This window comes from Homo sapiens, chromosome 13 (genome assembly GCF_000001405.40).
Source record: "Homo sapiens chromosome 13, GRCh38.p14 Primary Assembly".
Classification (NCBI taxonomy): Eukaryota; Metazoa; Chordata; class Mammalia; order Primates; family Hominidae; genus Homo; species Homo sapiens.
Genome location: NC_000013.11, coordinates 30100804 through 30119992, shown reverse-complemented (window position 1 = coordinate 30119992; position 19189 = coordinate 30100804). Strand labels below are relative to the sequence as shown.

General features: G+C 45.9%; 1 long non-coding RNA gene across 1 annotated transcript, besides 1 other annotated feature; it reads left to right on the top strand.

Annotated features, from left to right (window-relative positions):
• Window positions 4850-5199: a silencer, noted in NCBI's record as "silent region_5226". NCBI's record gives its function as "represses an Ori minimal core promoter by ATAC-STARR-seq in GM12878 lymphoblastoid cells {active_cell/tissue: GM12878}" and the evidence as "EXISTENCE:reporter gene assay evidence [ECO:0000049][PMID:35858748]".
• LINC00365 (long intergenic non-protein coding RNA 365) lies at window positions 11118-16815 on the top strand. Its single transcript, NR_046998.1, has 2 exons — window positions 11118-11224; window positions 14298-16815. It is a non-coding gene; the product is annotated as a long intergenic non-protein coding RNA 365 (long non-coding RNA).
• Window positions 16816-19189: the final 2374 nt, after the last annotated feature.

Sequence of the window (19189 nt, the reverse complement as noted above, 5' to 3'; positions counted from 1 at the left end):
CTTTGTTTCTACCCTTTTATCCATATTTTAAAAATCATGATTGGAACCTTATTTCCTAACGATTACATGTGTGCTCTGCTTTCTCCCTGGGGATCATCGTCCATCTTATATTTATTTTGCCCATGGCTCCTGGGCAGTGCTCTTAGGAGGCACCTAATAAATGCTCTCTCTCCAAATTCAAGCTGCTGCCAAAGACCGATTACTTAAGCCTCCAAAACCTTTTTAAAAATGCATTCCTTCCTCTCCATCTCCAAAGCCACATCCGTGCCTGGGTTTAATCATTGCACGCTCAGACTTTTACAACCTTGTGTGCCTTCTTTCTTCCTGTCTGCCTCGGCTCCAGTGAGAGCTGAGAACAGCCGCAAAATCACCCAGCCTCAGAATCTGGGTTCAAAGAATCTTACACAGCATTGAATCCACCCTGCCTCAGGGCTTGAATTCTCTTGACAATATTCACATTCCTAACAAATGGCTGCACAGTCTCTGCTTGAATACCTTCAGCCACGGTGGAGTCACTATCTTCTGAGGCTGTCCATTCCCTCTTTGTCCAGACAGTGCTTCCTTATTTCAAGCTGAAACTCGCCACCTTGCATCTTACAACTGGAATCCTAACTTTTCCTGTTGGTACCATTCAGAAAACTCTTAATGCCTCTTTTGGTAAATGTATCTCCCAAATTGTGGTGCTCAGAACCAAACACAGTATGATCAAGTGAAGAATGAAAGAGAACTCTCTTCTCTTACCCTGTGTTAGTTTCCTGGGGCTGCTATAACAAATTTACTGCAAACTTAGTGGCTTAAAACAACAGATATTGTCCAGGCACGGTGGCTCATGCCTGTAATCCCAGCACTTTGGGAGGCCCGGGGGGGCGGATCACGAGGTCAGGAGATTGAGACCATCCTGGCTAACATGGTGAAACCCTGTTTCTACTAAAAATACAAAAAATTAGCCTGGCCTGGTGGCATGTGCCTGTAGTCCCAGCTACTCGGGAGGCTGAGGCAGGAGAATCGCTTGAGCCTGGGAGGCAGAGGTTGCCGTGAGCTGAGATCGAACCACTGCAGTCCAGCCCGGGTGTCGGAGTGAGACTCTGTCTGAAAAAAACAAACAAACAAACAAACAAACAAAACAAACAAAAAAAACCCCAAAAACCAGATGTTTATTCTCTCACAGTTCTGGAGACCAGAATTCCAAAATCAGTATCACGGAGCTCAAACCAGGGCTATGCTCCCTCCAGAGGCTCCAGGAGAGAATCTGCTCCTTGCCTCTCCCAGCTTCCAGGGGCTGCCGACATTCGTTGACTGCATCACTCTGATCTTTGAGGCCAGCATCTGCAAAGCTCTCTCTGCTGTGTCTTTATATTTCCTTCTGTTTTGTGTGTGGTCAAATCACCCTCTGCCTCTCTGGTATAAGAATGCATGTGATTGTATTTAGGACCCAACTGGATAGTCTCCCCATCTTAACATCCTTAATTCAATCACACTTGCAAAGACCTCCTTCCCCTTCTCTCCATATAAAGGAACATTCCCCGTTTCCAGGGATTAGATATCTTCGGTTGAGAGGAGGGGATTTTTTTCACTCTACCACAAGGTTGTCTACCTTGAAAGACAACACTTCTGTAAGAGAGCCTAGCATCTCTTTAGTGTTTCTGGTGGTCACATCAAATTGTTGACTTTTATACTGAGCACATTGTCTTTACAGACCCCAATTCATTTGCATCGGTGCTTACTAAGCACATTGTCTTTACAGACTCTAATTCATTTGCATTGGTGCTTACTAAATATATTGTCTTTACAGACCCTAATTCATTTGCATTGGTGCTGTTGATTGCTTGATCCTGACAACAATATGTTATCTCAAATAAACGACACGTTGTTGGCTTTAAACTGCAGTTCCAATTCTGTTGATACCTTCTGATATGGTTTGGCTCTGTGTCCCCACCCAAATCTCATCTGGAATTGTAATCCCCATGTGTCAAGGGACGGACCTGGTTGGAGGTGGTTGGGGGTGATTGGATCATGGGGGCAGTTTCCCCCATGCTGTTCTTGTGATTGTGAGGGAGTTCTCACGAGATCTGGTTTAATAGTGACAGTTTCCTCTGCGTGTGCTATCTCTCTCGCCTGCCACCATGTAAGAAGTGCCCTGCTTCCCCTTCACCTTCCACCATGATTGTAAGTTTCCTGAGGCCTCTCCAGCCTTGTAGAACCGTGTGTCAATTAAACCTCTTCTGTTTACAAATTACCCAGTCTCAGGTATTCTTTATAGCAGTGTGAAAATGGACTAATACATTTTCTCAGACCTATCAAACAGGTGGGATTGCTGTCAACTTAATTAAATTCATAGTTTTAAAATTTGGTGAGTATTTGTTTAGTCTTATCAGTGATCATGGAGATGTTTAGTGGGCCTGACAGTGCAGAACCCTGTGGCACATCACCGGAAGCCTCTCTCTGGGTTCCATTGAACCTAGTCCCTTCCCCTTTTGTCCTATCTGACTCTTTTCATAGTCTCCATTGCTGATTTATGCAGGGCGTCTTGCACTGGATAGAAGTTGGGAGTTACGATTTTGTATTTTTTCAAGCTTTATTTCTTATATTCCAAGCCCTATTTTAAATTCATTCTTTTAGATCTACTCTGACTCTTTTAAACCTAGTTAAATCTGACACCGCAGCGAAGATAAGATTAGCGTCGTGGTTCTCAAACTTCAGAGTGCATTGGAATCACCTGAGGGTTTGCTAAAACACGGGTGCCAGGCCCCATCTTCAGAGTTTCAGATTCAGTAGTTCTGGGGCAAAACCTGAGAATTTGTATTCCTAAGTCCCCAGGTGCTGCTGCTGCTGTTGGTCTGAGAACCACACTTTGAGAACCACTACTATAAAATATCCTTCCATATGTCTTTATATAAACAAAGACGCTAGGACTTTTACCCCTTCCACTAAGAATGTTTGGCCACAAGAGCTCTTTAATATTTGCTAAATAATAATGCAAATACTGCTTGCTGTCTTTGGTGTTAGGTGTTTAGTTTGGTTTGGCCCAATTAGATCAGAAAAGTTATTCTTTCACCAACATATGGGTAGCAAACTATCTTCTTTACGTAATTCTTTGTCTTCAAATTATTCCATGTCGTCTCTAATTAGAAAGCACTTGTAAACACTTGATGACTTGAATTAAAAGGCTTAACACAAAGCCTAAAGTGTTGCCTATGCTGTCTCTCATCCATATTTTGTAGATTTAAGATCACTCCCTATCTGCACTTGTGAGCCATCTCTGCTCCCTGGATCCATGTCAACCTGTTTCTGTTCCTCCTAACTGCCCCCTATCCCCCAGCTGCCACTGGGAAGCATAATGGCAGGGCCGTGGGCTGGCTCCCTCCAGAAGCTGTTGCTCTGACAACTGAGTGATGGGAAGAAAGCCTGGGCCATCCAAGCTGGTGGCTTCAGGAAGGGTGGAGGACAGTCTCCACGCTGCTGCTGCCGAGTGCTGATGAAGAGACTTCCTCTGAGGCCGGCTCGGCCCTGAGCCTCCCAGGAGACCCACCATCTGTCTTAGCTTCTCTGCCTCTCCCGGTTTTACAAGAGGTGGGAAACCCAGGCCCAGAGGGACACAACCCAACCTTGCTGATTTGGTCTACAAAGGATCTGTCAATTTACTTTGCAAAGTAAGTCATTGGTATTTACTTTCTCCTCCTCCTCCTTCTTTTGCCGTCCATTCAGAAATGTCTGAATGATCACTGCTGCGTCAGCCTCTGTGAAATTCAACTCTGTACACAATCAACAGAACAGATGTCCACACAGAGTAAGTTACAAGAGGGAGTCCATATCACAAAGCTAACTGCCTGACTTAGATGGCTGAAATTCCCAGGCATTTCCACATTTATACATTGTATTCGGGGAATAAAACAAAAGGCTGCTGCTAAGGTCTGAATGTTTGTGTCCTCTCAAAATTCACGTTAAAACTGAACTCCCAAGGTGATGGCATTAGCAGGCAGGGCCTTTGGGAAGTGATTAGGTCACCCTGATGAACGGGATTAGTGCCCTTATAGAAGAGATCCCAGGGAACGCTCTTCCTCCTTCTCCCAGGTAAGGACACAGCTAGGAGGCACCATCTATGAACCGGAGAGCAGGCTTTCCCCAGACACTGAATCAGCTGGCACCTTGATCTGGGACTTCCCAGCCCCAAGAACTGTGAGAAATCAGTTTCTATTGTTTATAAGCTACCAGTCTAGGGTATTTTGCTATAGCAGCCTGACTATAGCAGCTGGATTAGGATTGCCATTTAGAGTTATAAGCTTTTTCAGATGTTCATATAAAGACATTTTACTTATCATTTGTTTTCATTAAATTAAGTAAATAAAAATTTTTAAAGTTACTCAAACTGTGTTCTATGGTGCTTTAATTTAACTTTCTTATTCATTACCCTACTTATTCATTCCTTATTCCAGATAAAAGCCTTTGTGAAGGTCAGTGTTATGTATTTAATATATTTAAGAAAACGTTGCATTTATAACTCATTCATTCCTTGCCAAAGTATCCGTGGTTCCAGGAGAAAGAGCCAACGCGGCTATATTTGCCCCGCAGACAAGTAAGTGTTTCGTTGCCATTGGGTTCACGACATGCAGGTGCATAACATTCTCTGCCTGCACTTTCCGGGCCTTACTTACCATTCTTCCTTTCTATCGCATCTCCTTTCTTTCATTCCTTAAGCCTGTGGGAATCCTGCCACCAAGCCCTCTGATGGGAAAATGCGTCCACTGTTTTCTTTAGCTGAAAACTACCCCTAAACTACTGAAGGGGAAAGCCCAGCGCTGGGGAACCGGTGTCCGCCAGGGGGAGCCGTGGTTTCTGTCTGGGGACGCAGCGCTCCGGGCCAGCACCTGGCTGCGACGGCTGCGCGGGGACGCAGTGCGCGCGCCTCACGCGCCGCGAGCTGACTCAGGCTTGCAGGTTGCAGCGGCGCTCGCCTGCCTGGGCGCTGCGGCTCGCGGGGTGCCGGCCTGCAGCCAGGGGCACGGGGCCTGGCGCAGAGCCAGGCGACGAGCGACGGGGGCTTGAACCAGCTTGGGCCCCGCGACCTGCCCCGGCCGGGGGTGGACGGCGCGGCGCCGGGCAGCGAGCACCTGGGCGGGGACGCGCTCGGTGAACGGGGTCACAGAGTCACTAATGGCTCCCGCCACCCCCGCCGCCGCCGCCGCCTCCCGCAGCCGCCCGCGCGGCGGAGGAAATGGACCTGCCAGAGGATTGATCTCCCTGGGAAATGGCTGCGTCGGCGCTGCGGTTCCAAGGAGTCTGGCAGCCTCGCTGCAGTGTCCTTCCAGAGCCATCCCCTGCAGCCCTCGTGCCTCTCTGCCCTTTTTTTCCTCTTACAAAAACAAAATGTTTCTAAATTTCCAGCCAGGGGGCCCTATCCTCAATAGATCTGTCATTCACTGGGGCCCTTGAAATCATGGGTCATTGCAAGCAATTTTCTAAACTTCGTTTTTAGCTGGGGAAACTCCCCAGGGTCTGTGGTCAAGGGAGAGCAGGGGTATTTAAAAGCTGACCCTTGTAACCCACTGCTCTCCCTTCTCCTTTGAAGATAAAGGGAGGGCGGGGTTCTGAACACTGACTCGAGGAAGTTTGGGAATTCTCGTGCCCACGTTCCTGCTAAGGAGTGGCTAGTGGAGCGTGAGAGCAGTTACTGTGAGCCAGACCCGTGCTAAGCCCCACATTGAAGGCATTTCGTGCTCCAAGGAATCCGATCACTCTCATTTTACAGAGGACAAAATCAGGGCTCAGCGAGGCCTGGTCATTTGCCAAAGCTTACACACCTAGGCTCTGCCAGAGGCACCCTTGTCACTTAACTCCCCGACTGAGTCCCCTTAACCTCCACCCAGAGAGGAGAGGTTCCCGGAGTGGTTTAAGAGATAACAACTCCCCTATTGACGGGGGCGAGGAGTAGGCAAAGTGGGATCCCCAAGCCATTGCCAGAGACTTCCGGGTTCAAGAGTGGTTCAAGAGTCCTTGTGTACAAAAAGAGCAGATAAAGAGTTTGCTTCAGGCACTCTCAGCATCAAAGTCACCTAACATTTGCCCAGCTTAGGGGGTGGGGGGAGTTTGGGGGGTATATCAGTTTGCTAGGCATAGTATAATATCATAGACTGGGTGGCTTAGACAACAGACATAGATGTTCTCACTGTTCTGGAGGCTGGACGTCCGAGATAAAGATGTAGTCCGGGCGTGTTTCTCCAGGGCCTCCTTGGCTGCCTTTTGCTGTGTGCTCACATGGGTTTTCCTCTGTGCATGCACTTGTCTATGTCCAGATTTCCTCTTTGTATGAGGACACCAGTCAGATGGGATTAGGGCCTACTCTAAGACCTCATCTTAACTTAATTAACTCTGTAAAGCTCTTATCTCCAAATACAGTTACATTCTGAGGCACTAGACGGCAACAGGATTTTTTGGGGGGGGGTGGGGAGAGGGGTAAAATTCAGCCCTAAGAGGGGTCCAAATAAATGTTACTTGTAAGATACCACACCTTGAAAAATGTGTGTTCCTATTCCGTATGTAAATCAGTCAGGTTTTTATTTTTGCACATAAACATCTTTCCGAAGAACAGAGAGCCCTGAGAAAAATGCCCAAGCACTCTGTACTCTGTCTATTCATTGTTTTTTAGGAGTCATGAGTCTTTGGTTTGGCTCAAGCAAAATCATGTGTGAAATCCAATAAATGGGAAGTCTTTATTGCTCAACCGCTTTTGAAAAATATCTATCATTGAGGCCAGTTTTTTTTTTTCTCCTGTCAGGTCTCATGATTTTCTACTGAAACCAACTCTGGAGTAAAAGGCTTACGTTGGCAGGAGAGTGTAGTACCTAAGGGCGGACGCTAGATGACGCCCCGGGTAGAGGCAGGGAGGAAACAAAATGTCTGCAGCCTCAGCTCAGGCTTTGATTCGGCTGGAATGCGTTCATTCATTCTTGAAGTTGGAGTTTTTCAATCAAAATGAAACCTACTGCTCTGACTCTAATGGAAAAGTCAGGGTTTTGTTTTGTTTTGTTTTTTAATGGTAATGAGCAGTATGTGATCTAATCGAGGAATTATAATTGATCGATGCTAAAGTGATTATTACCAGGAGCTCTCGTTTTTCTGTTAGACATCTTCAGTGGCTGTTCTCTTTAGGAGAGCACGTGCTTCCTAATCTCTTCCTCCCCTCGTTCCTGCAGGGCTCCCTGCCTCCCAGGTGCAGGCTCTCCCTCTGCAGTGGCTGAGCAAAGTCTCACGTCTCTGCTGAATACACCGGCATGTCTGTAGGCGGGGGACCGTGTCAATTGAGTTGTATGACATAATGTTGGAAAAAGAGGGGCTTCCGCAGAGAAGAAGATGAAAAGGTGCTTGTGACCTGGAATGCTTATTATGCCAAATTTCCCAGGCCAAGAACTGTGGCGCTGCATCTTAATTTAGTTCTGGGTTTGGAGCCGTGCGGCATCAGGATGGGAGAAATGGCTACAGAAATGACTCCCACAGCTTCTCATTCATTTGTTCCCCTGGGGTATTGCCAGGTTGGGAGAGGGAGGCTGTAGGTTACAGCGATGTCTCCTCCACCTTAGTGTACAAAGGAAAGGGCAGGACAACAGATGGTTTATGCATTACTTGAAAATGTTCTCCTGAACCGTCCATACTGTCTTTAGTCTGCGGGGTCCAGAGTCACATCAGGCTTATCTTTTAACACTGAGTGCTCTGCACTCTTATATTCACTGGGAAAAGCTGGATTGTGCAGTGATTCCCAATCCTGGCTCCATGTTTCACCATTCGTGCTGCATGGTCTCCAGCTATTTCCCGTCCCCATTCGTTCTTCGTCCTTCTCTGCCCTGTGCAGACCCCTAGAAGCTGTTCTTTGTGACCTGCTCCAGTCCCTGTTCCCCTCTCTTGCCCTCTTGCTTCTTAGCTGGGCTTGGCCATTGGATGGAAGGGAGAGAAGTGAGGGTGTCTCTTCTGTTCTCCCCCTGCTGGCAGTGGTGGGTCCTTCTGGGGCCCCAGCTCCAGTTAGGCAGCCCCATGCCCTGCTGCTAGCTCTCCCTGGTTTGCTAGAACACCGCTTTCTGCCTTTGCCCCTTCAGGCTTCAGGGTGAAACGGCTTCCAGCTCTGCCATCCCTAGTTAGTTTGTTTATGCCTCCCCAGGCCTCTGTAAATCATCTCTTCATTAAACTCTCTTCTGTCAGCCTTTTGAGGGGCTGGCTCTTCCCAGCAAGCCTTTGTTTGAATCACTGTCCAAGCAAAGTGGGATTCATAGCTGAACTCTTTGAGCCTCCGTTTCCTTCTTTCTGAAGTGAGAAAATTTATGGCTGGGTGCAGTGGCTCAAGCCTGCAATCCCAGCACTTTGGGATGTCAAGGCAGGAGGATTCATTGAGGCCAGGAGTTTGAGACCAGCCTGGATAACATAATGAGACCCTGTCTCTACAAAAAACAAGAAACAACAACAACAACAACAACAAAACCTAGCTAGATGTTGCGGCATGCACCTGTGGTCCCAGCTACTCAAGAAGCTGAGGAAGGAGGATCCCTTGAGCACCGGAGGTTGAGGCTGCAGTGTGTTGTGATCATGTCACTGCCCTCCAACCTAGATGACAGAGGGAGACTCTGTCTCAAATAATAATAATAATAATAATAATAATGGGAAAATTATTAATACTACCTACCTTATTGGTTGTGAGGATTAAAACTAGTGGCATTCAACAGGTATTCATTTCACATAAAAGATTCCACTTACCAGCATAATGAATGGCATAAGTCAGGTACTTGATAAATGTTTTTATTCATTTGTTTTGACTTTTTTATGAATGGAGAGATTAATGAATTCACACTGAAGCACCTTAGGTTTGAACAGTAAGTCAATGAGTGCCATGCTCACCTGATGCCAGCAGGCAGCATGGTTCAGAGCAGAGACTCCGGTGCCAGATTGCCTGCAGGAAATCTTGGGCCTTCCAAGCTCCCTGTGAGCAGTCTGTGCCTCAGTTCCCTCATCTGTTCAGTGTGGCTGGTGTTAGGAACCCTTCTCCTGTGGGTGGAGAGAGGATGGATGAAGTCATGTGCATCAGGCATGTGTTTTTGATGTTTTCTGGAATGTAGGAACCAAAGCTGCCCCCTCCTTCCCTCTTCGTGGCTCCTCCCTTCATAATGGAAGCTGCCGAAGTCCAGCTGCTGTTTGCGCGTGTGCAGACCCAGGATCCTCTGAGACAAAGCAGCAAGGTTCAGCGGGAACCCTGCAGGTGGCAAGGGAGCAAGGGTCTCATCTGTCTTAGCAGTAGCTTGAGATTGGCCCCTGCAACTCCGTGGCAGGAATTTAGAAGCTGTGTGAGGACAATGGAGAGAAGGGACTAGGCCCAAACTCTTCACTCAACAGGGGGCAGGCTGGGAGGTTCTGGACCACATGCTCAGAGTCAGCAGTCAGGCCAGATGGAACAAGAGGTCGGCAGCTGGACTACATGGCCGTCTCTTGGGCTATTTGGCCTTCACTTCGCCTGGGAGGATGACGGGGCAGGTCCCTGGACAGAGCAGCTTCTGGGCTTCTGGACAATCTCAGGCTGCTCTGTGGCTGCTGGAGATGAAAGGGTCTTGCCAGTCATGTTTTGCCTTCCTGCCAAAGTGGAGAGTTGTCCTGTCCATCCTCAAGGCCCCTGATGTTGGTTGGAATTTACCGTATACTCTTGCAGCTTCCTTTATTACCACTCACTTCTGCGAGGCTGGAGTGGACCTCGTCTTGTTTGTCATATGAGTGCTCAGGTTTTCCATCATGCTGCAGTCCAGCGGGTGCCATGAATGTCTGCTGAGTGTTGCTGTCACAGAGAGAGGGGAGTTGGTTGTGACTGCCCAGTCACCAGTGTTTTTGTGGGTTTCTGGCAGGGCTAGTGGGACCACTCTGCAAATGAAACTTCTGTTAATATTATCTCAGTGCTTTATTAACTAAATTCCTAAGATAAAGTCCAGAAAGACCCATGTTAGACAGAAATCAGCACCATGTTGCCTAGAATTCCCGAGAACAGCGAGTGTGCTCTCAGGACCGAACCACCTCGCACATGCCTTTGTGTAGCGTGAACACTTTTGAATGTGTTGAATGCTTTTGAATGAGTTACCGTTTCTTCACTCTTGGAACTTTCCATCTCTTTGCCACTTTTGTTTCCTGTTCACAGACCCTGTCTAATTCTCCCATGCCTTTCCAAAGTTTGGATTGTTAGCACTAGAATGATTATTTCTTGGTAAATTCTTTTATTCTTAATTTCTTAAATTCTTTTAACATAAATGCACATAAATTATGTTAGAGTTTATGCTCTTTTGTTTTACAATAGCGTTTTATTACAAAGGCACATTTGAGCTGAGATATAATCTGACCTCCTGGGCTTTTGTGTGTTTATCCCATTATTCACATTTTTTGTCCTTAGCTTTTTGTAGATTTTCGAGTGGGCCACCTCTCTTTGTCCTTATTGCATGTCAGCTTGTTTTTGACAAGTCATTTTTCTGATTTTAGAATGACTCTTTGACATCTCAGCCACTGTGCAAAGAAGGCAATGTCCCTTCTCCCCTCCTCCTTATGTTCCCTGCAAATTTAATGAGATGGTCTTCGATTTCCTTACTTCAGCTGCGGGTGGATGTATGAAGTGCCCCATGTCCAGGCCTGATCCCTTTGGGGGGACCCTCATGGAGCACCTCCCTGGAATAAACTGTGACTTTGACCTCCCCTTCTGGCCTCTTGGGCCACTAAGCTTTCCTCTGGGCTCCTTTCCCTTGCAGGCTAACCCCAGGGGCCTGTGACATCAGAACTCCATCCCCAGTGCTGTGCCAAGGTGAGTCTGCTTCTGCTGGGAGTTATTACGAGATGAAACCTGAGGGAGGAAGGCCAGGTATTTCCTGAACGTCATGGAACACGAGGCCCAGGTGATTCAGCGAGGTCAGAGTCTGCTGTGGTGGCGGTGGCGGCAGTTGGCAGAGGGGAGCCTGGAGGGAGGTGGGGAGTTAACGACTGCCTGCCTCCTCCCTGACCCCGCCTGCCTCTCAGCTCTAACATGCCTGTGATTTCATCATGCACACCTTTGTCAACAATCCATTTAGCAACCAAATTATACACCGGGTAATTATAGCTTCCAGCCTCATGTCAGGAGTCCCCTGCTCAACAGCGTGCTCCTGGTGATACTGCCACCCGTAACGGGTACTGGCTTTGCTAACATCCTGACGAGACGTCGGGGAGAGACGGGAAGTGGCAGGTGGGTTGCCCTGACTTATGTTAATTGTCTATGTCAGGCCTGCGGGTCTTGTTTTGACAGTCCCAAAATTATGTTTGGACTGCTGATTAGATCAATATGGGAAACTGGGCCAGAGGAGTTTCTCTGTGAGGAAAAAACAATCTGGGTAAGATCAGATCCTCAGGTGTGAAGGAGGGAGTCTCTTTTCACAGCCCCCTTGACCTTCCCGTCTCACTTGGAGCTGCCCCTCTCTGTCCCAGCTGCAAAAATGGACCCAGGAAACACGGTGGAGGGTAGGAGCTATGGGGTGGGCAGAGTCATAGCAGGGGACAGGGCTGCCTTGGAGGCCAGCCCATGCATTCACAAGGATGTATTCAAGGTTTAGTCTGAGCCCTCACTTTGTGGCTTTATAGATGATTGTTTTAATAGGGCGCAGTGAGGAGGGAGGGGCACAACCCCAGAGATGGCAGCAATGTGGGTGGCTGGGAGACGTGGCCACAGCTAAAGACAACCTGGGCATGGCTCTGAGTCAGCAAAGGGGGATATTTTTCTCAGATTTATTAAAAGTGGTAGCTGCTGGTGATGCTTGGGTTTATAACCTTACCATTTATTTATATCTGATGATTCCCCACTTCCTTTTTTAAAAAAAAAAAGTTAAGATCTTGTTCGGTTGCCCAGGCTGAAGTGCAGTGGTGCCGTCACGGCTCACTGGAGCCTTGAACTCCTAGGCTCAAGTGATCCTCCTGCCTCAGCCTCCTGAGTAACTGGGACTATGGGTGTACACCACCATGTCATGCTAATTTTTAAATGTTTTGTAGAGATGGGATCTCACTGTGTTGCCCACGCTGGTTTCAAACTCCTAGCCTCAAGCAATCCTCCTGCCTCAGCCTCCTGAAGCCCTGGGATTACAAGCATAAGCCACCGCCCCCGGCCAGATCACATGATTCTTTACATCTCTGCTGACAGATTTCATCACTGGTGCTGAGTGCAGGGAGTCCCGCAGCCACTTACACGTGTTGCATTGCCGGGCAATACAGGCCTGTGTGACTTGCTATTCTATGGCTGGGCTTCTGCCTGCAGATGCCTGGTTTCTCCACTGCCAAGGCTCATGGTCTGACACATCCAGGAAATTCAACAGTGAGGATGCAATGACAATGAGTCGTGCATGAGGGTTCCCGGGCCTCGCTCCCCTGCCCATCAGAGAAGGCTTGGCATCTCAGCTGACTCGCCCTCTGCTGCCCTGGGAAGGGGGCCGCCATGGTCAGAATGCCTCTCTGCTTACTTGGGCTATGGCTGGGGAGGAGTTCTTCAGGAAATCTTGAGGAGAGAGGTGCTGGAGTATGAGGACAATAGGTGGAAAGGGAAGGAAATTTAAGGAAGTATTTCTGTGGGCCATGTGTCTCTGTTTCAGCATTTAAGAACGCATATAAGGAACTTCAGTTATTTTGCAATGACTCTTGTTGCTGGGTGGTGATTCTTGACTCCACCATTGGTTGAGTCTTGACTGCAGGCATCGCAGCTTCAGGGGGATTACGGAACACCAGCGCACAGAAGAAGTACACGGTAACTGATAGTTAGACAACAGTCACGTTGCCCCTTGTGTTTCTGGAAACCCTGGGAATAAAGGTGATCTGGCTCAGCTCATATCCTTGGGAGCTTTAGCACACAAGCAGACCCAGAGATACAGGCTTGGATCTGAATCTAGGAGGCCCAGCAGGAATGGACGGGAAAACATTCATTTCTCTCGGAACGTCTCATGAAAGCTCTATTTCTAGGGCCATGTTCACTGTGTATTCAGGGAACTCTGCCTGTTGTTTTCATGTCCATTTCTGTAACTGTCAGAACTATGATCCCATTTTAAAATTTGCCTGAGTGCTTCCTCAAATGCAATGGATAATTTCCTTAACTATACTATTAGCATAAATTTGCATATTTATTTCATAATTAAAATGAGTAAGAATAAAAGGCTAATTACACCAAAATTGCATGAGTCACCATAATTAAAACTGTAGAAAATAATTTTACTTATAAATTTCAAAATCTTGAGTGATCTGTTATTCATCATCGCATGTTCATTCTCATCTTACCTCTATTTCATCCTGAATGCTGGGGTGGGAGGACTCCAGGTACGATGGAGCTGGAATTGGAAGGTGTTCTTGGACCTCAGGGAGACTAGAATCAGATGGAGGGAAGAAAGTCAATCCAATGGATTTGTGTAGAAATCACACCCAAACCAAAGGGTATCAGGCACAGGCATCTTTGGTAGTATTGGCAAGGCTCTAGGTCTCACGTGGGATGGTGGGTTTATTATTATGTTTCATAATCAGATATTGGATTCATAATTGAATCAATATTATTGGATTATTTTAATGTACTGAATATGACTACATTTTTTGAAGAAGAAGATAATGAGCAAATGTGTTTTTGAATTTCCTTCTAACTTCTAATCCATCCTGCTTTATGCCACCAAACAAGTCTTCCTAAAACACTGATTTTAACCATGTCGTGGCCTGAACACAGTCATCAGTGACTCTACCTGTAGACAGATAGAACTCCACCTTCCTTACCTGGCATTTGAGGCTCCCAACTTGTTTTTCTGTGTCTAATTTCTTCACAGAATCTTTCATGAAATAAGCTACCCTCACTGTCCTGTGAATGTGATTTTTGTGTTCTTAATGTTGCACCTTTGCTCACACCATCATCCTCACCTCCCCTGATAACATCAACACTATTAGGTACTTACTGTGTATCAGGCACTCTTGTTCACTAGGAAAATAAAGAAATGGTCCTTATCCTTAGTCTTTCCACGCCCAGCTCGAATACATTCCCATTGATTGATTCATTCATTCAGGACGCAGTATATCTAATCTAGGACCCTGTTCTAGAAGCTGTGAGGGAAACAGGGTTGAGTGAGAACCAGTTCCTTCCCTCCAGAGGCCCCATGCTGGAACTCTGCTTGGTTCCCTTCATGAAACTTTATGCTCTCCTCTCCCCACTGAAGCCCATGGAAATCTAGCTTTTCTCAGAATTTCTAATGGAACAAAGCAAAAACTGACTCAAGTGTTCCTTTTATTTATTTACTTGATTTTCTAAGGTTGGGCAAGATAGAGGAGGAAAGGACTCTACCTCATGGCTTGTCCAGAAGAGGGCAGGGCCACCCCTGCAGCCAGGCCTCCCGGGCCCTGGAGGTAGGAGGGGGACGATGGCCTCTAAGAGCACTCTGAGACCAGGAGCCTGTTCTCTCGGGCCTGAAGGCTTCGCTTCCACTGTTCTACGCTGCCGCCCTGGCCTGGCCACCTCCCCTCCACTGTGTGGCTGGCTTTTCTCTGCCTTCTGCTGCCTGATGGGATCTCCCACTCACCTCCACGAGGATCTGAGAGGAAAGGGTGCTGAGGAGAGGAGCGTGGAGTGGGCAGGCTCTTGATGCCAAGCCAAGAATCTGCATGGCTCATTTGAAACTTCGCAGTGCCCTTTATCTCTTGTTCTCTTTTATGTATAAGCTCGTCTTTCTCCCATACAGTTGTAAACCCCAAAGGGTAGGGACTGTATTCGGTTCCTTATTTATATCCTGTAAGACAGTGACTCTCAAACTCATCAGAATCACCTGGGGAGTTTTAAAAACTTGATTCCTCCAGAAACCATAAAGACCAAAGATTTAAAAATATCACCATATTAAAACAGAATGAAGCAAAATCCTTCTGTAAAGCTAAACAAACAAACAAACTCATGAATCAGTCAGAAGAAATTATAAACAAGGGGAAAACAGTATTTGGAATATAGATGGAAGACACACTAATTTCTTTAATTTGCAACAAATGTCTATAAATAAGAAATATACAAACAACTCAATAAATGCTGGGCCAGGAATCTGAACTGGCAGAACATGGAAAAGAAATACCAGTGACCAAGAAACATATGAAGAGCTGCTCATCCTTCCTCAGAAATAAAGAGACGCAAATCAGAACAATGCCAGACCACTTTTCATGAATCTGATTAGCAAAAATTATAAAGTTTCATGATGCCCATTGCTGATGAGAGTATGGAAGCAGATGCCAGTGAATGCAAACTTGGTGGATTTTGGCACCTGTGTGACAAGGTGGGGCGGTGGTTCTCACACCTGCATGAGCTTCTGAATCACATGATGAACTTTTAAAAACATAGATTCTCTGCGCCCCCATCCCATACTGCCATAAGGCACCCGCGTGTAACTAAGGGCACAATTTGTGAAGTTCGAAATGGTAATAGAGACCAGACTAGTAAATTTCAACTAAAGGAATTTTGTCAACATACATCAACATTTTTAAAACATGAGTAACCTTTGACCCAGCAATTCTACTGATGGGAGCTGATTCTGAAATTTCCCACAGAAGAGTATCAACGTCGGCAAGAATGGATGCCCACAGCAGCATTATTTGTATAGCAAACAACCTCAATGTCCATCAATAGGAACCTGGATAAATAAACTGTGGCACACTCTTAGATCTTTTAAAGAGATTTAGTAGGAACTCCATTTGCTGATATAGAGCAGTCTCTGAGTTATGTTGTGCAATGAAAAAATCAAGCAGCAGAGCAGTATAAATGGTGTAATCCATTTTCCACATAACTTTTAAAATGACACACCATATACTTTGGTAAATGCACAAATTCTTTTTCAATGGAAAATCTACAAGAAGCTGATAACAGTGGCAACTTTGAGGGAAGGATGAGAAGAGAGGTTCTTACCTTTCATTCAGTACTGCTTGATTTTCCTACTTCCTACTTTGTGCATTGATTAGTTTTAGTGGAGAACTTCAGTAAGTGTCATCTGAAAGGTGGAGTTATGGGACAATTTTGGTTTCTCCTTTAGAGTTTTCTGTAAAGGATATTCAATAATTGAAGATTCTCAGGCCATATACCAGATACACCAAGTTTGGGTGGAGATGCTGGCATGGGACTCTAGAAATCAGCTTGTCGTGTGATTCTGCTCATCAGTCAGGTTTGAGACTCACTGCAGAAGATTCTGGAAGAAAAATGCTCTCTTCTCTAGCTCAGGGGTTATGAGGATGAGAGGGTGGGGTGGCTGCAGCCCTTTTGTTTCCATGAAAGGAGAACCTGAATGACCTTGTGCAACCTAAGGTCAAAGAAATGCATGGCTGGCAAGTAAACCACAGAGAGGAACTTGTCCGCTGGTACATCAGTAGGCCACAGAATCATGCCTTTCCCGAAGAAGGACGTCCTGTGTCTAGACTTTTCAGTTATGAAGCCAATACGTCCTCTTTGTTGTTTAATGCAGCTTGAGTTAGGTCTTTTGTCACATGCAATATTAAGAATCCTAACTGATAGACCTCCACTGAGACAAGCTGAGTATGTCTTTATCTCTTGCAGACTGAAATTGCCTAATTTATAAAGTATTTCATGATGTTTGCAAGATAAACCCTTGTCTGCTGCCTTGGGCTACATCTGATGATTGCCTGCAATATTTCTGCCTCTAGAAATGAACTGTCAAACCAAGAAGTATGTCCTTGGAATGCATCCTCCACTTTAGCAAAAGAATTATGTGTTTTGTTTGCTCTTCATCATGTAACTCTTGAATAAATTTGGATGCAACAGATTAAGGGCATAACCAGGAAATATTTCTTGTGATATAACTGATATCTGGGTTTGTTCACTTAATCATTCATTTGACAAACATGTGATGAGGGCTCACCATGAGCCGGATACCTTGCTAGGCATTGGGTGGGTATACAATGGAGAACAAAGCAGACATGTTCTCTGCCCTCATAGAGGTTGTAAGCTAATGGGAGAGACAGATATTAAACCAATAACCAATAATCACACAAACAAGAAATTTATGCATTTAGATAACTGCATGAAATGAAAGTCCTGAGTCCTATTAGAAAGTGTAACAGGGATTTCTAACCTCTATGAAGAGACACAGGAGAGCTTGACTCAACTTGAGAGACTGAAAAGGACCGTGTAGCCAGCGAAGTGCATGAGGGGCAGTTCTGCAGGAAAAAGGGCTGGAGAGACAGGCAGGGGCAGAACACAGATGCCTTGCATCCCTGTTAAGGATTTTGTATTTTATCCCAAGTGAGATGAACAACACTGAAGGCAGTGACATGGAGCAGGAGAGTGACATAATCTAGATTCTGTTTTTAAAATTATATCTTTGTCTATTGTGTAGCAAATGGATCAGAGAGGCCAATAGTAGAAACAGCGAGACCAGTTAGTGGGTGTTGCAGAAATCCAGGTGAGAGTTTCTGGGGCTGTTTGGATTCAGGTGATGGTGTAGAGTGAAGAGAGTGGAAGAAAGTGGACATATTCTTTTAGGCAGAATCTGGAAGGCAAGGGGAAGGATTGGTTATGTGTATGTTGGCAGGCAGGAGGGAGTGAGGAAGCTGTCCAGGAGAACCACTAGCTTACTGACTTGGGCCATTTGACTGACTGGGGAGGGACAATGGGACCTGGGAGTTTTTTTTTGTTTGTTTGTTTTGTTTTGTTTTGTTTTGTTTTAGATGGAGTCTCGCTCTGTCACCCAGGCTGGAGTGCTGCGGTGCGATCTCGGCTCACTGCAAGCTCCGCCTCCTTGGTTCACGGCATTCTCCTGCCTCAGCCTCCCGAGTAGCTGGGACTACAGGCACCCACCACCACGCCTGGCTAATTTTTTTATATTTTTAGTAGAGACAGGGTTTCACCGTGTTAGCCAGGATGGTTTCGATCTCCTGACCTCGTGATCCGCCCGCCTCAGTCTCCCAAAGTGCTGGGATTACAGGCGTGAGCCACCGCACCTGGCCTCATTTTGGTTTTTATTTGTGCAGGCATATCATTTGCCAGGACAGTTAGCAATGCCATCTTCCTGTCACAACTAATTGACCATACCAGCTCCTTATTCAAGATAGGCTTTTCTAAACTTGTCTGGAAGTCACTCCATCGTGGGATAACAAGTCTCACTCCTCTTTTAGAAGAGCAAGAAAAAAAAAGGTGGGGCAGAACCCAAAGCAACATTAGGAAAATTGGGGCAGAGAAATTGGGCATGCAAGATGAGAATGTCTGGAGAATCAGCCCTTCCTTGAGACCCCGACACTTTCTTAGCTTGGGCTCATTACTTCTCACGTTAACCTCTGCACCCTGCAAAGGCTGCCTCCCGGAGGTGGTGGGGGGTGGAGGGGGAAATCCTAGAGCCATAGTGCTTTTATTTTCCAATTTTTCAAGATTTGCATTCCTTTGATATATGAATACTAGACACATCTAGGTTTTTTAAAAAATTATTATCTTATTTTCAACAAACTGTAGTAACAGCTGCATAAAATTCTTTTTTGGAAAAAAGGAAGAAAACATACTCATGATTCTATGACCCGAGTACAACAATGGCTTCTTTTTATAATTTTTATTTTGCGCATAACCTCCCAGTCCTTAGTATATTAATTCAGTTCACCAAATTCTTTTTTTTTTTTTTTTTTTGATACGGAGTCTCGCTCTGTCACCCAGCCTGGATTGCAGTGGCATGATCTCGGCTCACTGCAACATCTGCCTTCCGGGTTCAAGTGATTCTCCCGCCTCAGCCTCCTGAGTAGCTGGGATTACAGGCATGCGCCACCATGCCCAGCTAATTTTTGTATTTTTGGTAGAGATGGGGTTTCACCATTTTGGTCAATGCCAAATTCTTATTAAGCGCTTACTACATGCCAAGTATTGTTCTCAGCATCAGGGATACAGAAGTGAACAAAACAGACAAAAGTCAAGAAGCATGCATATTTCAAATAGTTATAGTATAATATGCCATCTTCAATTAAATCTTTATGAATTTTAAATGTTATTTACATTTTTCTTAGCTACCATTTAGTGCTTGCATGTTACACTAATATGTTAAGAATATAATGTATTAAAACATTCATCAATGGGAAGCCACAGGCTCTTTGCAAATAGGGACTAGGAATGATGTTTTACCACTGCATCCCCAGGCCCTAGCACAATGCCTGATAGACAGAAGGTGCTTGGCAAATAATA